Raw genomic sequence first — 21,281 nt, forward strand, 5'->3', positions numbered from 1 at the left:
ATTCATTCCTTAGTGCTGACCTCTTAAGTTCTAAATTTCAATTCTCACATTATGTATTTTACCTGGACAATCTTGTCTACCCTGGTGATTTCAAATATAGCCTATACATAAAAAAAAAATTTAAGTCAGTATTATGGGCTCCAGAGAGCTATTTTCTGATTGTATACGAAAACATTTCACATGCAAATGCTGCTTTATATGTCTCAACCTTAACATGCCGAAAAGTAAAATGGCTTCTTTCACTCAAATCTGCTTCTCCTCCTTGTTCCTTATCATTGTTAACAAAGCTGTCATGCTCTTAGTCTGCTTCCCAGCCTTCCCTGTCTCACTGCGACATCATTATCCACCAAGCTGCTAGAGCCAGGAGTGATGGTAGCATCCTTTCTCTTCTTTCCTCGGTTCAGTTAAGCAATAAGAACTACTTTGAGAAAATAATCTAAATATTTCTATTTCTCCCCATTGTCATGACTACCAATTGTTTAAGGGTCTAGAACTTAGAACCAATTGAAACAGAAGATATAGGAGAGAATCACATGGAGATCAAAATACCTTTACTATGGCTAAAGCTGATTGAAAATCTTGGCATAGATATGGAATAAATATTAATGTCTCCAAAATCTTCTCAAAATTTATACTATGGCACAAACAAGTTAAATGTAGGTCTCTTCCTCACCATCTATCTTAGGTCTCTTTCTCATATTTTCCTCCAATCTCTACTGCTGGGAAGGCGAGGGACATGGAGGGGAGAGATCACCTCAAGTAGGCACAGGTAACTTTTTACAATATCTCAACTACTTTTTCACAAGGGCAGCAAATACATTTTTTGTTCAGTATGACATTTACAGTATCCTAAACAATGCTAGTATATACGTATACCTGATAAATATATGTTGAATAAATTTAAAAAGAACATAGAAAATTTTCCCTGGACTTGACTATTTGCTGATCTTGGTGTTCTGATTATATTTCTTATGCATTTATTAAAATATTTTTCTCACTATATAAATTGCATATATATTTTTACATTTCCATTTCCCAACTAACATATAAAGGCAGTACATGAATTACAGGTTAGTTCATCATCTTATTGTCCTGGAAGCCTAGCTCAGGTTCTGGCATTTATTCCTCCTTTTATCCCTTCTTCATCCAAAAAACATTTATTATCTGTTTGTTATGGTCCAGGCACTGCTTTAGTCACTAAAATTCAAAAATCATTAAGAAACAACCTCTGCTTTTGGCAAGTATCTTAGTCCATTTGTGCTGCTATAACAGAACATTATAGACTGAATAATTTGTAAAAACTAGAAATGTATTTCTCACAGTTCTGGAGGCTGGAAAATTCAAGATCAAGGCACTATCAGGTTTGGTGTCTGGTGAGGGTGTGGTCTCCACTTCCAAGATGGCACCTTGAACCTTGCATCAGGGAAGAGGGAGGGAGCACTGTGTCCTCACATGGCAGAAGGCAGAGGGCAAAAAAGGACTAACCTCCCTCCATCAGGCCCATTTATAATGGCATCGATCCATTCACGAGGGTGGAACCCTCATAACATAAACACTTCCCCCAAAAACCCATTTTCCAGTACTGTTGCTTTGGGGATTAAGTTTCCAACATAAAAATTTGGCGGAACACGTTTAGATTATAGAATTTCATGCTTGGCCCCCAAATTTATATTCTTCCCACATGAAAAATCCATTCATTCCATTTCAATATTCCCAAAAGTCTTAACTTGTTCCAACATCAACCCAAAAGTCTAAGTCCAAACTCACATCTAAATATGAGGGTGAGACTCAAGGTATAATTCACCCTGAGGCAAATTCCTCTCCAGCTGTGAGTCTGTGAAATCAAACTAGTTATGTACTTCCAAAATGTAATAGTGAGACAGGAATAGGATAGACAATTTTATTCCAAAATGGAGCAATAGTAAAGAAAAAAGGGGTAACAGGTACCAAGTAAGCCCAAAGCCTAACAGGAAAAAGAAGATTAAATCTTAAGGCTAGAGAATAATCTTATCTTCATGTCCTGCCTTCTGGACATACTGGGATATGGGGAGGTTGAGGTTCCCAGGCCCCATGAAGCTCCATCCCTATGGCTTTGTTGGACATAGCCCACGTATCAGCTCTTATACCTTGAAGTCATATGCCTGCAGCTTTCCCAGGCTGGTACTGCATGCCAGGGACTCTACAGTTTTGGTATCTCAAGGGTAGTCCCGCTCCACAGGTCCACTAAATATTGTCTTAGTGCAGTCTTTCTGCAGTGTCTCTGCCTCTGTGGCAGGTCTCTGGTTGGAACTCTGAGGCTGTCTATAGCATCCTTTGAAATATTCGTGCAGAAAGCCATACCTCCACAGTTTGTGCACTTTGTGTGCCTGCAGAATTAGAACTGTCTGGATGCTGCCAAGTTTTGTAGTTTGTGCCCTTTGGAGTGACAGCCTGAGCTGTACTGGTCCTGCTTGAGTCACAGCTTGGTGCCTGAGAAGAGCTGTGCTGGAATGTAGGGAACAGAGACTTGAGGTGGCCATAGGCAGTGAGCTCCAAGGACCCATGGGTACCCTAGGCCCCTCCTATGAAACTGTTCTGCCCTCAAGGCCCTAGATATCCGCAATGCTTTTGGGGTCAATTTCTCATTGTCTTGATGAGTAGCACTGGCTTCCTTCCGTCCACACTAATCTCCTTAATAAATGGTCATTGGGCCACACCCTTGGTTTTCTCTCCTAAGCATAGTTTTTAATTCTCCACAAAGCCAGGCTGAGAATTTTCCAAATCTTTTCATACTGTTTCTCTTTTAATTATAAATTCTGTCTTTGAATCATTCTCTGTTCTCACATTTGACTATAAGCAGTAAACACTGCTGCTTAGAGATTTCTCTTTTTAAATATTCTAGCTCATTGCTCTTAAGTTCTGCCTTCCACAAAGTTGTGGGATATTGACATTGTTCAGCCAACTTCTTTTTCATTTTGTATCAAGGCTAGCCTTTCTCCCAGTTTTCAGTAAGATATTCCTTACTTCTGTCTAACACCTCATTAGAGTATCCTTTACTTGTCATATTTCTACCAGCATTGTGTTCACAACAATGTAGGTTATCTCTAAGAAGATTGGGGCTGCAGCTTTCCTCTTCTTCTGAGCTCTTACCAGAATCACTCTTACTGCTCTGTTCATGAAAACATAGGCTTTTTCCAGTATTCACTTCAAAAGAGTTCCAGCCTCTATCCATTATTTAGTCACTTCCACATTTTTAGGTATTTGTAACACCCCACTTCTCTGGTACTAATTTTTGTCTTTGCTGTAACAGAATACCATAGAGTAAGTTACAAAGAACAAAAATTTATTTCTCATTATTCTGGAGGCTTGAAAGTCCAAGATCAAGGTACCAGCATCTGGTGAGGACTGCAATCGACTTCCAAGATGACGCCTTGAATGCCATACCCACCAGAAGGCTGGTACACTGTGTCCTCACATGGCAGAAGGCAGAAGGGAACAGAGAGACAGATGCCTTCCATCAAGCCCTTTGATTACAGCATGAATGCATAAGTGAGAGTGGAGCTTTCATGAACTGAATGCCTCCCCAAAGGCCCCACCTTCCAACACTGTTGCAGTGGGATTAGGTTTCTAACATATGAATTTTGGGAGACACATTCAGACCATAGCAGCAAAGCTGTAGACTAATTGAAGAATTAGTCTGTAGGCAAATAAGTACAATAAGATGTTCTGAGAGAAGGTTGTGTATGACACTGCAATGTAGGAAATGTGTTGAATTTGTGCTTGTTGAGTAAAAAAGTAAATTGTATTTGCTAAATATTTTGTCTTCATTATCAACTGATCTGTATAAACAATAAAAGTATTCTATTATCTTCATTGTACCTATGAAAATATATTGAGTAGCTGCATGCTAATCTTTAGATTTACTAATTCTAACTTCTGCCCAAGTTTAAGCACTATAATTCTGATATCTAACTCTGTTACCTTAATTATTTGAAATGAAATTAACAATTAACATCTGTTTTATGTGGTTATACTGTCCTCTCCACAGCCGTAATTTTACTTAAAAACATAAACCATATCTTGGCAGAAAAAGCTATTGCATTGAACATATTATGGGCTTAAGACATTGTACTTAATTTCAGTTTGTAGAATTATTTATGATCCAAAATGTCTTTAAACAAGATATGTTAGTGTCCTTCCCAGCTTGAGATTCTATGATTCTAAGATACACAAAGAAACTTTTACTATAGCTTGAGGATAGTGGAAATTAGTGCACAGAATTTTTTCAGTATTTCAAAAAAAATTATAATTTCAACTTTTATTTTAGATTCAGAGGGTACATGTGCAGGTTTGTTACATGGGCATATTGTGTGATGCTAGGGTTTGGGGTACGGATGATCCTGTCATCCAGGTGATGAGCATTATACCCAAGAGGTAGTTGTTCATCCCATGTCCCCCTCCCTCCTTTCCTGATAGTCCTCCCCAGTGCCTTTGTTTCCATTTATATGACCATGTATACTCAGCATTTAGCTCCCACTTATATTTCTCAGTTTTTACAGTCATTTTGCCTTCTTGGCACTGGCTTCTTTTGGGTTGAAATAAAGGCCACTCATTCAACATGATCCTATCAAAAGTATACACATTATGCCTTTTCCTTATGATCTCCCAGCTGTAGAAAGAAACATGTGGACTCTTTGTATAGTGAATGTTGCTAACACTACACTCTAAATGCTCTTTCAGTGAGGCTGTGGTCACCTCTTTTGAGCTGTCTCTGAAGAAGAGTGACAGCACTGATACTAAACTGGATCTGTAGAAGTGTTATTTCCACTGGTGATTGCACAGGCAGTTTTGAACCTGCTTTTGGACAACAGAGGATAGGGAAGAGGCTTAGAGGCCTATTTGACATTATAGGGTATGAGCCTAAAACTCTGTTGGGCATTGCTGCTGCTGGGAATAATAGTTTCTGGTCATCAGAAGCCAGTGGGACACTGTGGTATTGGTATTCATCACCCACACAAAGAGCCTGTCACTTGTTAATACTCTGGATCTGGGCTGGGCAATTTCAGAGTTGTTCCTCCCTATCTCCTGTGACACAGAGCTACAAAACTCTCCATATTTGGAAATGTTATGAAATCATCTAAGTTAGCATGAGGGTTAGTTATAAAGCACTGGGACCATCAGTCATCTTCCTTTTTCACCATGTCTAACCATAATTTTATATTTGCTTCCAGTAGCTGGCCTTATAAATCTTAATTAAAGGCTTTCTCAGATCCTGAATTTAAGCTGTCACCCATTATAGCTTCGTTGAAATGTCCATGTCCATTAAAACCTTATCAAAATGCAGCATCTATTACCTTTGAAGCTCATGTTGTATTCATCTCTGCAAGCTTTGTTAATGCAGGGAAGGTGCATATATGCTGGCAACATAACGTTCCCTGACAGGTGCTGTTAAGCAGCAACGGCTGGCTTTACTCTCTCCACAGCCTTTGATGACTCTTATAAAATCCTGGAACTACGGTTTGCTACATACAGGATGTGTAGTAGGATAGGCCAAACAAAATTAAACCATTGATTCTTATTCCATGTCATGAAAGGGTAAAATAATCATGTTTTTTTCCTCAGATCATTGGCATTTTAAAGCAGCCTAAAATAATGTCAACCTGTTGGCATGATCCAATCAAGCAAAATGCATACCTAAATTCATGAACAAAAAAAATGTGTTGATTCTAAATTGTGATTCTGGTATTTCCTTGGAGAAGCGGATGTAACTTAAAACCAATATGCCTATCTTGGCTTTACTGAATGGTGCTTTAGGCATTTGCTTTCTATAACTGGATTGACTAGGAAATGAACTTGAGAAGGTGAGAATTTTAGATGAAGATCTGAAAGTATGACTAAGTGAGAGATTTAAAAGTAGAGATTGAAAATTATGTAAAATAAACCTTCATAATGTCACAGCATCACATATTATCACCGTAGTGACACCAATAAAAAATATCCTCAAGTTCTTTAGTCATGGGGAATAAAAGAATGAAATAGTGTAGCATGCTACAGCACTACAATTTGATACTATTAAGATTTCACAGTTGCTGTCAGCCAGGTCACAGTAAGGGTTAAAACACTTATCAGTTGTGACACTCTGTCTTGATAACCTTTTTAATCCTTCAGAGGCACTAGAGGAAATAGCTAACAACTAAGAACAAGTTATAACGAATACGGATGTGTTTCATCCACTCATAATCCCTTCTCAATTATTCAAAGTTCTGTTTCCACTACAATCTTTCAGATCCTCTTGTGTATCATTCATCTGTAAGAATGTTGGCGGTATTTCTGCGTACTCCAAGGCGACAGCTGTTAGTATGAATCTCTTCTTTTTTTCCTCTCCCCAACTAGAATCAGAAGCCCTTTCAGGTCAGGACTTTCTTGTTCACTTGTTCAACCTATATTCCTACCACCTGGCACTGGGCTCTATCTAGAGGAATTGGAAAATGCATTTAATAATAAGGGTGGAAATATTTCTGAGGGCACATTTTCTAAGTGAGGAAACGAATAAGACTTTTTTTTCTCTCACTCTTTGGAAAGACTATGATCATAAGGCTAAAATATGCATTACCTAATCTACTATGTCTATCTCTTAGCAATGTTTTTTAACAGAAAGCCACCATATATCTCTGTAATTATGTTGTTAGAGTATGTAGAAAAGACCCAAATTATATTATTTCTTTTAAATCTTAGAGATATTATTACATATTAATCATTTTTTCTTTATGGTCTCCAAGACATTTTTTAGAGGTGTCTACATAATGTTAAGTGAGAAGTTTTATACAGGGGTAGCAAACACAATGCATCACACCATCTTTAAGAGTGAAGTTACATGAGGTTTTTTCCAAAAGTAAAGACCACCATTTGTTTGCTTGCTCATTTATTCAGCAAGCATTCATTCTAGACTCTGGAACGTAGCAGTGAATAAAAGCACTTCTGCAAAATAAAATACATACAATGTAAATTTTTTTTAATCTCTGGGGAAAAATATAAAGCCAGGTAAGGGATATAGGAAGCTTCTATAGAGGGGCTGTAATTTTAAACAGGGGGAGCAAAGAAGGCTTTACTGAGAAGGTGACATTTTATTCGAGACCTGAAGAGCTTAGGATTCAGTCCTCTGCGGGGGGATGAGCATCCCATGCAGTAGAACAGCAAGTAATCAGAGGTAGGAATTAGTCAACAACTAGCCAAGAGGCCAGTGGAGCTGAAGCCGAGCAAGACAGGGTAGAGCAGACCAAGGAGAGGTCAAAGAGGAGGCCCATTGTATAAAGGAGGCCCATTGTATAAAGCTGTCCTGGCCATTTCAAGCACTTTTTGTTTTTTTTTACTCCAAATGAGGTGAAAAGCCCCAGAAGGATTTTGAACATTGATTATACAGGCTGAATGAACTTAGACTAACTAAACACTGTTGCTTATATAGAATTTAGAATAACTAAACACAGTGGCTTATTAAATAAATCATAGTTAGTAAAGAAAGAATGTACGATTAGACTAATATTCTAAATTCTTTGAAGTGATGCTTTATTATAAACTTTTCTTGGCATTACTATCAGAAATAGATTATATAAAATCTCATATTTTATGCAAACCTTGGGTGCAATAAAATTTTAAAAGATTGTCATACTCAGATAATTTTATAATATTGATGTTACTTTCTTTTAACAGTCATAGTGTAGATCAAAATATAGAGGATCCTAATGGAATGAGACAGGCTGTATCTCTGATGCAAGTGATCCTTACGGTCTCAGGTAGAGGCACATTTTCTTTCCTGGGTGGCTACATGTATATTGGCACCAACAGCCCCCTGTGGAAAGGATCACTCATGGTTTGATAAGCACAACTGAAAAGTGTCAGCAGTCACCAAACAAGAAGTTTTCCCTTTTGGGGGAAAGATATTTGGAATCATAGGAATCTCTAGTTTTCTTACTCACTGATTCTGGGACAATGCAGTTTCAATGACATAATGTAAGTGGATGCTTTCTACACAGTGCTGATGCTATTAACCATACAATAGATTTCAGTGTATTTTTTCTCATTCTGACCACTTTACCTTTAGCTTTAATATTCTGTTAGAGCATCATAATATTTATGTCTAGAAGGAACCATAAAGGTCTTCTACTCCAGCAGTTCATCTGAAGCTAACCTACCAACTAAGTATAAACTGTAGCTTTGTCAGTTTTGAACAACCAGAGAGTGAGATCTTAACTATTGTCATGATGTTGTCAATATCACTTTTGGAAAAATGAGACAGTATACTATAACATTAACTTTTCATTACTTAGGCCAAAGTCCATTCTGGGGCCAGTTAGGAAAAAATAATAATATCTTTTAGACATAACAGCCTTACAAATGTTGAAGACATCTCAGATGTTTGCTGACTTTTCTGGCAATCATCTTCTGCTCCTTTAGCTAATCTTTGTATAACATGACTTTGAATCTCTTCATCTTTTTGGTGACTCTCCTTTGAATGTACTCCAGTTTACCTCTCTTCTTGAAGTGTGTGGCTTAGATGTGGTTTGATATAGAGGCATAATTGAATGGAATTATTATTTCCCTTGATCTGGACAAAATATTCTATTAATGTAGCCAAGAATTGCATTAGCTTTTTTGGCAACCACTGTTCAGTGCTTGATGTATATCAAGCTCCCTGTCAATTAATCCTCCAGGGACTTTTTTATTTATTCTCTTGCTAAGCTACGCCTTTGACGTCTATATAAGTTTAGTTGCTGTTTGGAATAAAAAGACTTTACTTTTTTTTTTTCCTAATTAAATTTCATCTTGCAAGTCCAGTGTTCCACCCATTGGGATATTTTGGGATCCTGATTTTATCCTCTATCAGGATTTAATAGCTTTAAGACTGAACTCAAATAGGCCAGTAATTTTCTAAAAAGGACTATTCTTTTGAAGATTGCCTTCTGAAAATATCAAGGAAATCTAAGAGACATTTCATAATACAGGTTAAAAGAACAGATCTGGGCAGTAGCCACACCTCATTTCCAGCTCTAGCTCTGTCACTTTCCAGGTGAATTTATTCATTTGGTTAACAAACTGAACTCCTACTATGAAACACATTATCCTAGGCACTTAGGACTCATCAGTGAATGAAACAGACAAAAATACTTATCCTGGAGGAGCTTATAGTCTAGCAGGGAAGGAAACCTATGAAAAGAAATATACACGCTACAATCCTTAATATTCTTAACAGGAAAAATAGGAATAAATGTATTACTTTATAATATATGGTTTGTTTATCAGGGTTCTCCAGAGAATCAAAAGAATGCATATGTTATAATAAATAAAGATATTTTTTATAAGGAATGAACTCATATCATTATAAAGGCTAAGTCCCAAGATCTTCAGGGTAGGTTGGCAAGCCAGAGACCCAGGAGAGCCAATGAAGTAATTCCAGCCTGGAAAATAGCAAGCTCAAGACGCAGCAAGAGCCAATGCTGTTTGAGTCCTAAGTCAGGAAAAAACCGATGTTCACATTTGAAGGTGGTCAAGCAGGAGGAATTCTCTATTACTCTGGGGGAGGGTCAGTCTTTTCGTTCTATTCAGATCTTCAAGGGATAGATGGGGTTCACTCCCCTTATGGAGGGCCATCTGCTTTATGCAGTCAACTCATTCAACTTTGATACATAAAATTAACCGTCACAAATAGTAATGAGGATGTTAGGAGTTATTGTACATAAAGGGCTTAGCATAGTGAGCTCTTAAGAAAAGATAGCTATTATTTGCGTAAAGTATTTTTCAATCCCCTCTTCAGAATTAGGAATAGAATCAGAGCTCTACAATACTGACACAGTAGTTTTGGCCCTTTCCTGGTGTGACGCTCTGTCTGATGTTTGGTCTTGGGAAGCAGTCATACTTACGTAGTGCATGATCAGCTAAGTCATTTCTCTGCTAATGCCTATTTCAAGGTTCTGTGAAAATATGCTCTCTGCCTCACATGCATGAGACAGGGGAATTACCTGCAGACACCTTGCTACCATCTGGAGCAGCCTCTAGTGATGAAATACCTATGAAGGGTCTTTTATTATTTTTTGGCAGTGTTTCCTTTTTAAAGAAAATATTACAAAAACTGGAAAGGTTTTAGAAAAACCAAAAGGCAGATTTTTTTATACCTCTCCTTTGAACTCACTGCAGGAGTAGTTCACTTTACTTAACAGTGAGCTCAATAAGTAACTATCATTTCAGGGTATGCCTGACTCATAATACTGTCAAATAATTCATATATGTAAAAATGACCGTTGTCTCATTTACTTGTTATGCCAACACTTGTCAACCTCAGCAACAGCTTTCAGCCCTGTTAAATGTGGTTTAAATGTGAGGGATCTAAAATGAAATTGAAGCACGCTGCATTTGATAGTAAATCAAATACGAATTTAATGTTGTACTCAAAGACAGCATATTTAGTAAGTCTTGAAAGTAAAAATGGCGGATTTTATGATTTGACTCTAGTGAGGGTTTTATTGGGATTCTGATTATCTTTTAAAGGTTGAGATCTAATGATTTTTAAAAATTACATTTGAGAAAAATATTTTGGAGTAAATTATATTGAACTGAATTAATGAACGATAAAAATAGTTTAAAGAAAATCACTTTCTAAAGAGAAGACAAGTATTATCAAATCATGAACATTATATTTTGTTTTACTTTTTATTATAAAAAATTTCAACCACACTAAGGGTAGAAAAAAATAACATTATACCCATATATCCATCACTTATATTAAAATGTATTAATATTTTATAATATTTGCCTTATCTCTTTTGAACTTCAATTTTAAACTCACCCTCCATCGGTATTTTTAAAGTATTATTTTATTTTAATTTTTTTTTTTGAGACAGAGTCTCACTCTCACTCTGTCACCCGGACTGGCACCTGCCAGTGCAGTGGCACTATCTCGGCTCGCTGCAACCTCCGCCTCCTGGGTACAAGTGATTCTTCTACCTCAGGCCCCTGACTAGCTGGGATTACAGGCGCTTGCCACCAGGTCCAGCTAATTTTTCTATTTTTAGTGGAGACGGGGTTTCACCAAGTTAGGCTGTCTCAAAATCCTGACTTCAGGTGATTCATCTGCCTCGGCCTCCCAAAGTGCTGGGATTACAGGGGTGAGCCTCTGTGCCCGGCCAAGGCATAATTTTAACTAGATATAAAATAAATCTTAACTTTTCCAAGTATAATGCTATAAGTGTGGAACATTTAAAGGCAGAAGAGATTTTACATTTGTTTTTTCTAGCATATGGGAAAATTGATAGCTTCTTTCCGTATGTTTTAATGATGAGTGAAGAACTAGACTGCTTCTATGGTTTTCCCTGGAATTTTTAAAAATCACCTACCCATAAACTTACATTCTTCCTAAATACATGAATGTGATAAGAGTCTCAATAAGCAAAAGCAAAATATACTGCTATTCTAGAAAACATCTGGCAAAGAGACTCCAGGACAACTCTTTGTACAAAAGGGAAATGAGGACCGGCTGGCTGTGTAGTAAGTGGATATATGGCCTCTGGTGGGAGGCAATGTGGCAGTGTTAGGGCCACATGAATGAGGCATGAATTGTAGGTCTGATTTTTAGTAGTTACATGCCTACGGTCAAATCACAGCTGTTCTAAACCTTCAGTGTTTCCACCTCTGTAACATGAATGCAGTAATGCCTGGATTGCAAACGTGTTGTGAAGATTAGCTACATAGGTAAAGCTTTGTTGTACGTACTCAATATTGGCATCTGGTTGTTGTTTTTTGAAACAGTGTACTAGAAAGACTGTTCATGGTGTTTGAAATTATATGTAGGTGGTATAACAATCCTTCCTGCTCACTTACTTGCTGTGTGTCCCTCGGTGTGTCCCCTAGTCTCACAGAACCTCAGTGTCTTTAGCTGGGAAATGAATCTAATACTATTTATTCCATGATGGTTAGTTTAATATGTCAATCTGACTAAACTAAGGGATGCTCACGTAACTGGTATACATTCCTCCTAAGTGTATCTTTGAGAGCATTTCTGAAAAAGATTAACATTTGAATCAATAGACTAAGTAAAGAAGATTGCTCTCATTAATGTGGTTCAACGTTAGTCAATCTGCTTAAATAGAACAAAAGTGCAGAAGGAGAGCAAAGTCTATCTTCTCGAGCTGAGACATCCAGATTCTCCTGCCCTTGGATAGGAGGTTCTTGTTATGGGGTCGTCGGACTCTGGGACTTATACCATTCCCTCCAACATGTAAGCCAATTCCCATGTGTATATATATATATATGTATGTGTATATATGTATGTATGTGTATATATATGTATGTATGTGTGTATACATATACACACACACACACACACATATATATGTGTATATATATACTTATTGGTTCTGTTTCTCTGGAGAACCCTGACTAACCCATACTCCCACAGCATTGTTTATGGGGGCAAGTAATAATGTTCGTGTCATGTAGCAGACTCATTATTGAAAATCTGTTCCTAGGAGTCTTGTTTTCTTGACCAATTTCAAGCTTTCAAGTTACTTTTGCAGTTTAATAATATAGGGTTTAGTCTTCTTGATGTTTTTGCCAGTATTTGGATAAAGATGTAAAAGTCGAACATATGAAACTTGACAATAGCTAAATTAGGTTCAGAAGTTCTCAGTAGGCTAGAACTGTAGGTAAAAATGAACAAAACAATTTATATGGAAAAAAATTGAACAATGTAGTAGTTTTATAAGTTCCTTGTGTGCCAATACTGTGAATGGATATTCAATTTTTTAAGTTCCATTTTAGGCTAATTAATTCAGGTGCAAAGCGTAGATTCAGCAATATAAAGGTTGTTCGTATTCAAATTGGTCAGATGACAGCTAGAATTATGTGTCCTTTTTTTAAGCTAAATTCCACACTTTACAAAGGACATTGAAAAGCTAGGTAGGGGTCTGGTGCGGTGGCTCACACCTACAATTCCAGCACTTTGGGATGCCCAGGAGAAAGGATTGCTTGAGCACAGGAGGCTGAACTGCAGTGAGCCATGATCATGAAGTCCAGCCTGGGCGACAGAGCAACGCCCTGTCCCAAAAAAAAAAAAAAAAAAAAAAAGCTAGGTAGGGTTTCTCAAGCTATGGAACATTTTGATCAGATAATTCTTTGTTGAGGGTGGCAGGGGCAGTCTCCTGAGAATTTTTAGCATGTTGCTGGCCTTTATCCATTAGATGCCACTAGAACTTCCATGTTCCCACCCAGAAAGACAACAAAAATGTCCAGACATTGCCAAACATCTCCTGGAAGGCAAAATTGCCCTGATTGAGAACCTCTGTGCTGCAGGGTATACAAAAGAAGGTAAAAGGAAAGTAAAAGGCTGGGAAGGATAATCATGAAGAATAATAAGGGTAGGTGTGTCTCATTCCTAGAACTGTCCCAACTCAATAATTTTATTTTGTATTAAGTTTCTCTGTCTTCATCTGCCTTCCCATTAAATTAATCTTTCTGCAGTCAGGGATTGTGTTTCATTCTTTTTGTTTTTAGTGTGCAGAATAACTCCTAGTGTACTGTAGACTCTCAATGTTTTTATAAGGTAAAGTAAACTAAACTGAGGAAAAACACGACCTGATGTGGGCAGCTACTAAGGAGACATTTTCTGATGGTACTTGAAGAGCTGCCAAAGGAAGAATCGTATTGGATTACTCAATGAAAGAAAGAATGCTTCTTCAGAGGGCAGAGCTAATAGCAATGAATAAAAGTTATGGAGGCATAGATTTCACCTTATTTTAAGGTCAAATTTTAATATGATATTTATACTTATTTAGCACCAATAATTCTTGAAATCAACTTGATTAGCATTGAAATGAATGTACTTTATAATAGAATTGTAAATAAAATTGTCTCTTTAACAAAATGGGGATTGGGGTACTGATCCTCAACACTTGAAAATCTACATAGAACTTTTGACTCCCCACAAACTTAACTACTAATAGACCATGTTGCCCAAAAGCCTTACCAATTAATCAATTAACAAATATTTTGCAATTTATATGTATTATATAGTATATTTTTACCATAAAGAAAGCTAGAGAAAAGAAAATGTTATGAAGAAAATCATAAGAGGAAATATATTTTAGTACTGTATTGTATTTATTGATACCACAAGTTTAGTCATTTGTTTACAAGATGAATCTCTGAAATGGCAGGTAACTGCAGCTGCAAATCTCAGTCTATGGTACATATCAAGCAATTCAGCTTTTTTTTGCAACGCCATGACTTCTCTGCTTCTCGGAAGCACTTCCAGCATCACTAGTGGCACTTCGTATGTGTTCCATGTTGTTAGGCAAGGTTGAAAGTATTGCACTAAACAAAATGAAAAATACATGAGAAACACAAGAGATCCCTTTTTACTGCAATTTATTAGAGGAATGAACTCCTCATGCAGAAATGATTAGTGTCACGAAGTATTTTAAATGGATACTTGCAACACTTGAGCTCACTGCAAGAACAAAAGGAAGTGGCTATGAATTGATTACTGTTGTACAGTATGTACTACAGTTAATTTTATGCAGTCATGATTTAATACTGCATCTTTACGTTTGTTTACATTTCTCTCCACCATGAATGGTGCCATGTACAGTTTGTGTTTGGGTGCATGTTTCAATAAATTCTAACTTTGTATAGTGGATTTGTGTGTATTTTATGATAGTAGATGATAAAATAGATTAATATCTACATAGATTTTGTGCATTAATGCATACTTACCTTTTTCTTTTTTGATATTCCTAGGCTAGGTGTTCTGTGTGCAACATTTTTCAAATTGTTGTAAATCTCCAAAAAATTTATATATTTTTATATTATATAAAATGTATTATATATCATATGAAATATATTTATATATTAAATTTATATATATATTTATTGAAAAAACTCATGTGCAAGTGGACCCACATAGTTCAAAATCAAGTTGTTCAAGAATCAATTGTACAATACTATCAGAATTCTGAGGTATATTACATACATTTGTGGGATATAAAAATATTGATCAAATACAAAATTATTGATTTTCCCTACTTAAAAATCTATATTTATACTCATGCAACTATTAAATAATTGACAATATGGCAAGTACTCAGAGGCATAAGAAAGAAAGAAACTAAAAGAAGAGAAAGGACAGAAAAGAATATCTCCTATATATATATATTTGGTAACTTATTAAAAATGAGTAGTGAAAATGATACTGATAGAAAATATTTATCAAGTGCTTATTGTATTATAGTCATTGTGTTGTGCTTTAAATATAGTCTCATTTAATCCCTACAACACCTCAATGAAATAAGTGCTTTTATTTTCTCCATTTACATATGAAGAAAAAAATTTGCAATTACAAAGAGATAAGCATTTCAAAAGAAACTAATAGAACTTATAAATAAACTGTGTATTGCTTTCAAAATTGTAACTTCAGAAGGAATGTACTGAATTTTATATTTCTTTTAATAATATCAGTCTTGTGAACATTTTTGGATTGCATTCAGGGTCATTTTTTCAGTTCAATATTTGCTCTGTGCACCTGAATACATATCTAACCAAACTATTAGGCATGTGACTCATCGATAGAGAATTTCATTCTTTGGTTACTATATGGCTCATAGAAACACATTTCCGCTCTCTTTTATCTGACAAGGACTTCCATTTTATTGTCAGTATGAGGACAAATTCGAAATACACATGAAGTTTCCCAAAACATCTTAAAAATAGTACAGAAATTTGTATCTATGAGATTATTTTCAAATTATATTCAACATTCAGTTAAAATTTTCCTTAACATTCTTTCCTGTGGCCAGATCTTAAAACTAAAGTATCCTGAGGTGTGGGGAGTATCTGTGCATGGAGGAGTCCGCTCTGTGAGAGTGCTGGGAGACACTCCCTGGAGCAGACACTAATGCAATGGAGGCTTTTTGTTTGTTTGTTTTACTTGGAGAAGAGTAGCCTGAGAAAGACAACAGTGTTCCAGTCTGGAAAGCCATATATTAATTAGTGATATTTCCCATTAAATTAAGGAGAGGACAAGAGGGTTAAATTCAAGCAGGATGGTTTAGGTTGCAAATTTTGAAGATGATAGCACATCTTCACTGTAAAGGCTAGGAGAGGTTAGAATATGTTACCGAGGGAATTTGAGTGTGACAAAGTTACTTTTCTTTCATATGACAATCTATTGGCATTTATTTCTAATTACCATTGTCTCTTTGCTACTGAAGTTATTTTTGAATGAAAAGCATTCATTCATGCCATATCTCTTCCACATAGAATTTTTAGATATAAAAATTAATTAAAAATTTATAGCATTTAACCAGGGGTGAATGAAACTCAATTCTGCAATATTTATTCATATAAAGACCAAGATCCTAATTATCTAGGGAAGTCAGAGAAGGCCTAAAGAGACCCACGTGGGTATTATAGATTTGTTTTAGGAACTTAGGTGTCTGCCTTTTCTCTCCATGTTTTAAGTAGAGTTGTCAGATTTAGTAAATACAAATACAGGATGCCCAGTTAAATATGAATTTCAGATAAGCAATGAATAATATTTTAGTATAAATCTGTCCCCAAGACTATATTCTTATAATAAAAAAGTTGTTTATTGTTTACCTAAAATTCAAATTTAACTGGGCATCCTGTATTTTACCTGGCAACATTAGTTATAAGGGGAGCCTATAAGTGGATTAATCCTGAAGCTAATGAAGCTTAAGTTTTCAGGGGTCTTCGCTGGCAGGATTTTGTTTAAATCTAATGTTGTCTTGGCAATTTTCCAGCCTTTTCTTTAGAGCCTCCTTCCCAATTATATAAACCTGAGGCTCCACGAAATTTAGATATGACCCTGCAGGAGAAGTAATATGAAGAGACAGTCGACAAGGTGACAGAAGAAGTAAATTTAGCAGGCTTGAGGAGATTGTTGATGCCCTTGTCACATTCGGAAATTATTTTCCAGGAGATAATTAAATAATCACTGGGCCTTGAGGCATCTTTGTAGTTGAAACTTGACTGTCACTGTATAGGGAAGAGACAGGAATAAGTTTTCCACTTTGTTGCTACAGCCTAAGAGTGAAAAATTCAATGCTCTGAGAAAGGCAGTAAAATTTCTTTTTGCATGGATACAATCAGCAAATGAAGACTCAATAATTTTGTTTCTACTTACCAAATTCAACTCTTCAGATCTCATAGACTTTAAATGCCGAAAGGAAGTTATAAAATAAAAAATGAGAATGGCAAAGAAGTGTCCTCCAGAAAAGCAGATCTGGCTTTATTCTAAGGCTCATTCACAAAAAGGCAAAGCTAAATATTTTGTCTTCCTCCTTGATGCAGTGTCCTGCTTTGTGTAATAAACCACAGAAATGACTCAGCTCCCCTGCATTTAATAAAGACTATAAGGGTGATAATCCTCTTTTTAATCACTCAAGACACTGCCTGATTCTTAGAGCCTACAGTTTTGGGAGTGTTATTGATGGGAGTGCTATTGAAGTGCTATTGATTAGGTTTTCAGGTTAAATCTTTTGTGGCTTCAAGAAGCACAGAAACGGTGTAAAGAAGTTCCACTTAAGTGCCTGATATGGATTAAGGGAACTTTTCTTCATTCAAGAAATTAATTCAGCAAACATTTGCTGTGTGTTTCCTAAGTGCCAGACACTGTGCTAGGAATGGGATTGCTTTGGGTTTTCAGTACTTAACTGGGAATTAATTGATGGAGGGAGAAAACGCTTTTTTTTTTCTTTTATTATACTTTAAGTTTTAGGGTACATGTGCATGTGCACAACGTGCAGGTGTGTTACATTTATATACATGTGCCATGTTGGTGTGCTGCACCCATTAACTCGTCATTTAACATTAGGTATATCTCCTAATGCTATCCCTCCCCCCTCCCCCCACCCCACAACAGGCCCCGGTGTGTGATGTTCCCCTTCCTGAGTCCATGTGTTCTCATTGTTCAATTCCCACCTATGAGTGAGAACATGTGGTGTTTGGTTTTTTGTCCTTGCGATAGTTTGCTGAGAATGATGGTTTCCAGCTTCATCCATGTCCCTACAAAGGATATGAACTCATCATTTTTTACGGCTGCATAGTATTCCATGGTGTATATGTGCCACATTTTCTTAATGCAGTCTATCATTGTTGGACATTTGGGTTGCTTCCAAGTCTTTGCTATTGTGAATAGTGCCGCAATAAACATACGTGTGCATGTGTCTTTATAGCAGCATGATTTATAATCCTTTGGGTATATACCCAGTAATGGGATGGCTGGGTCAAATGGTATTTCTAGTTCTAGATCCCTGAGGAATTGCCACACTGACTTCCACAGCGGTTGAACTAGTTTACAGTCCCACCAACAGTGTAAAAGTGTCCCTGTTTCTCCACATCCTCTCCAGCACCTGTTGTTTCCTGACTTTTTAATGATCGTCACTCTAACTGGTGTGAGATGGTATCTCATTGTGGTTTTGATTTGCATTTCTCTGATGGCCAGTGATGGTGAGCATTTTTTCATGTGTTTTTTGGCTGCATAAATGTCTTCTTTTGAGAAGTGTCTGTTCATGTCCTTCGCCCACTTTTTGATGGGGTTGTTTGTTTTTTGCTTGTAAATTTGTTTGAGTTCATTGTAGATTCTGGATATTAGCCCTTTGTCAGATGAATAGATTGCAAAAATTTTCTCCCATTCTGTAGGTTGCCTGTTCACTCTGATGGTATTTTCTTTTGCTGTGCAGAAGCTCTTTAGTTTAATTAGATCCCATTTGTCAATTTTGGCTTTTGTTGCCATTGCTTTTGGTGTTTTAGACATGAAGTCCTTGCCCATTCCTATGTCCTGAATGGTATTGCCTAGGTTTTCTTCTAGGGTTTTTATGGTTTTAGGTCTAACATTTAAATCTTTAATCCATCTTGAATTAATTTTAGTATAAGGTGTAAGGAAGGGATCCAGTTTCAGCTTGCTACATATGGCTAGCCAGTTTTCCCAGAACCATTTGTTAAATAGGGAATCCTTTCCCCATTTCTTGTTTTTGTCAGGTTTGTCAAAGATCAGATAGGTGTAGATATGTGGCATTATTTCTGATTCATTGATTTTTTGAAGGGTTTTTTGTGTCTTTATTTCCTTCAGTTCTGCTCTGATCTTAGTTATTTCTTGCCTTCTGCTAGCTTTTGAATGTGTTTGCTCTTGCTTCTCTAGTTCTTTTAATTGTGATGTTAGGCTGTCAATTTTAGATCTTTCCTGCTTTCTCTTGTGGGCATTTAGTGCTATAAATTTCCCTCTACACACTGCTTTGAATGTGTCCTAGAGATTCTGGTATGTTGTGTCTTTGTTCTCATTGGTTTCAAAGATCATCTTTATTTCTGCCTTTATTTCGTTCTGTACCCAGTAGTCATTCAGGAGCAGGTTGTTCACTTTCCATGTAGTTGAGCAGTTTTGAGTGAGTTTCTTAATCCTGAGTTCTAGTTTGATTGCACTGTGGTCTGAGAGACAATGTGTTATAATTTCTGTTCTTTTACATTTGCTGAGGAGTGCTTTACTTCCAACTATGTGGTCAATTTTGGAATAGGTGTGGTGTGGTGCTGAAAAGAATGTATATTCTGTTGATTTGGGGTGGAGAGTTCTGTAGATGTCTATTAGGTCTGCTTGGTGCAGAGCTGAGTTCAATTCCTGGATATCCTTGTTAACTTTCTGTCTCGTTGATCTGTCTAATGTTGACAGTGGGGTGTTAAAGTCTCCCATTATTATTGTATGGGAGTCTAAGTCCCTTTCTAGGTCTCTAAGGACTTGCTTTATGAATCTGGGTGGGAGCAAATGCTTTTAAAGCACAGAGCTGTTTAGACTCCATAAATGAGCAATACATATTTGGCATAATAGAGCCTGCTATATGCTATACATAATATGATACTGGATAATTGTTCTCAATTTTTTACACCTTTGTGCCATTGACAAGCCTTCCACTAGTGTATATGAAATATACGCCCCTGCCCAATGGATGTTAGGCTTGATCACGTGACTTCTCTTGGCCCCTGGAATGTCAGTGTGCATGATGTAGAAGAGGTTCAAAATGTGTTTGTGTGGTTTGGCTTATCTTCTAATACTACTGTGACCCACCATGGAAAGAACATGCACCTGATAGTCACCGGTCATAGGAAAATGACAAACACAGTAAAAGGAGAAAACTCAGTGGTTGTGGTTGGAAGCCATTAATATTTGGGGTTTTTTTCTTGCAGCATTATGATGGCAATAGCAGATTAACATAGACAGTAAGACAATCATACAAATAAATGTAAGTTAAGATAAATTGAGATATGTTTATAGATGCAAAATGCAATATGATTTTCAGTGGTGGGAAAGCAAACATTTGATATGGGGAAATATTTGGGAAAAGCCAAGTTTGAGGTAAGCATTGAACAATTTCAACAGGCAGAAAATGTCATGGGAATTAATGAGTACTTCAAGTAATCCGAAGCTTTGTAGGTGGTGCAGAATTGGTTCATCTTTCAAAAGCCTTTCTATGTTGGGAAACTGAATATGGTATTGACTTCCAAAGAGGGCATTAAAGTGTACCTGAGTGTGTTGACTCAGTCCAGTGCCCTCTGGACTTTCTGAAACCATCCCAGAGTCTTTCTAAAATCTTCTTCCCATCCATGGATGGGGACTGGTGGTAGATACCCTATGGCCTGATGCTACTTGCGGATACTCTCCAGCATTCTGTAGTTAACCAATATAGCAGCCAAAGGCTTTCATCTGCTTCACCTGGGGAGTCTTAGATTTTAGATTCTTTTAGATCCCTTTTAGATTTAACAATTATTTATTCCAAGCTTCTTATATGCAGTTTATTTTCCGTATATTTTCTCTCTTAATCTGCACAGAAACCTTTTGACATAGTGTTACCATCGCTATTTTACTTACAATAGATCTGAGGACCAGAGAGGTTAAAGGAAATGCTCAGGTCACACAACTACCTACTAAATGCCGAGGCCAGGACCCTGACTTGAACACTGGGCACCTGATCTACAATAGGAACCTGGTCTTATTAAAAATCTCTATGGGACTTTTCTAGAAGCAACTCCAAAGTATACAGGATGTTGTTGAGCATCTTTTTATATAAGTAATATTATGAAATCTAGGTTTATTTGGTAAACCTAACTTTTCTAGAGGAGGCTCCAGAAAGTTGCCGAGTAAGACTATCCAGAGCTAATCTGTGTTCACTGGCTTTACTTCAAGTTATTCTAGCCCACACACAGCTCTCAATTCACCTATGAAGTTATTGAAACTTGGCTTTAGATTTGAA

At 36.7% G+C, this 21,281-nt stretch overlaps 1 long non-coding RNA gene across 1 annotated transcript in view; it reads left to right on the plus strand.

Moving 5' to 3' along the window:
- The first annotated feature begins 285 nt into the window (after positions 1-285).
- Positions 286-21,281, plus strand: part of LINC01442 (long intergenic non-protein coding RNA 1442) — a 29,201-nt gene continuing 8,205 nt past the window's right edge. The window contains exon 1 of the long non-coding RNA NR_184201.1: positions 286-769. This is a non-coding gene — a long non-coding RNA (long intergenic non-protein coding RNA 1442). The remainder of the gene's footprint in view (positions 770-21,281) is intronic.

The sequence above is a fragment of the Homo sapiens genome, chromosome 13 (assembly GCF_000001405.40).
Source record: "Homo sapiens chromosome 13, GRCh38.p14 Primary Assembly".
Taxonomy (NCBI): Eukaryota; Metazoa; Chordata; class Mammalia; order Primates; family Hominidae; genus Homo; species Homo sapiens.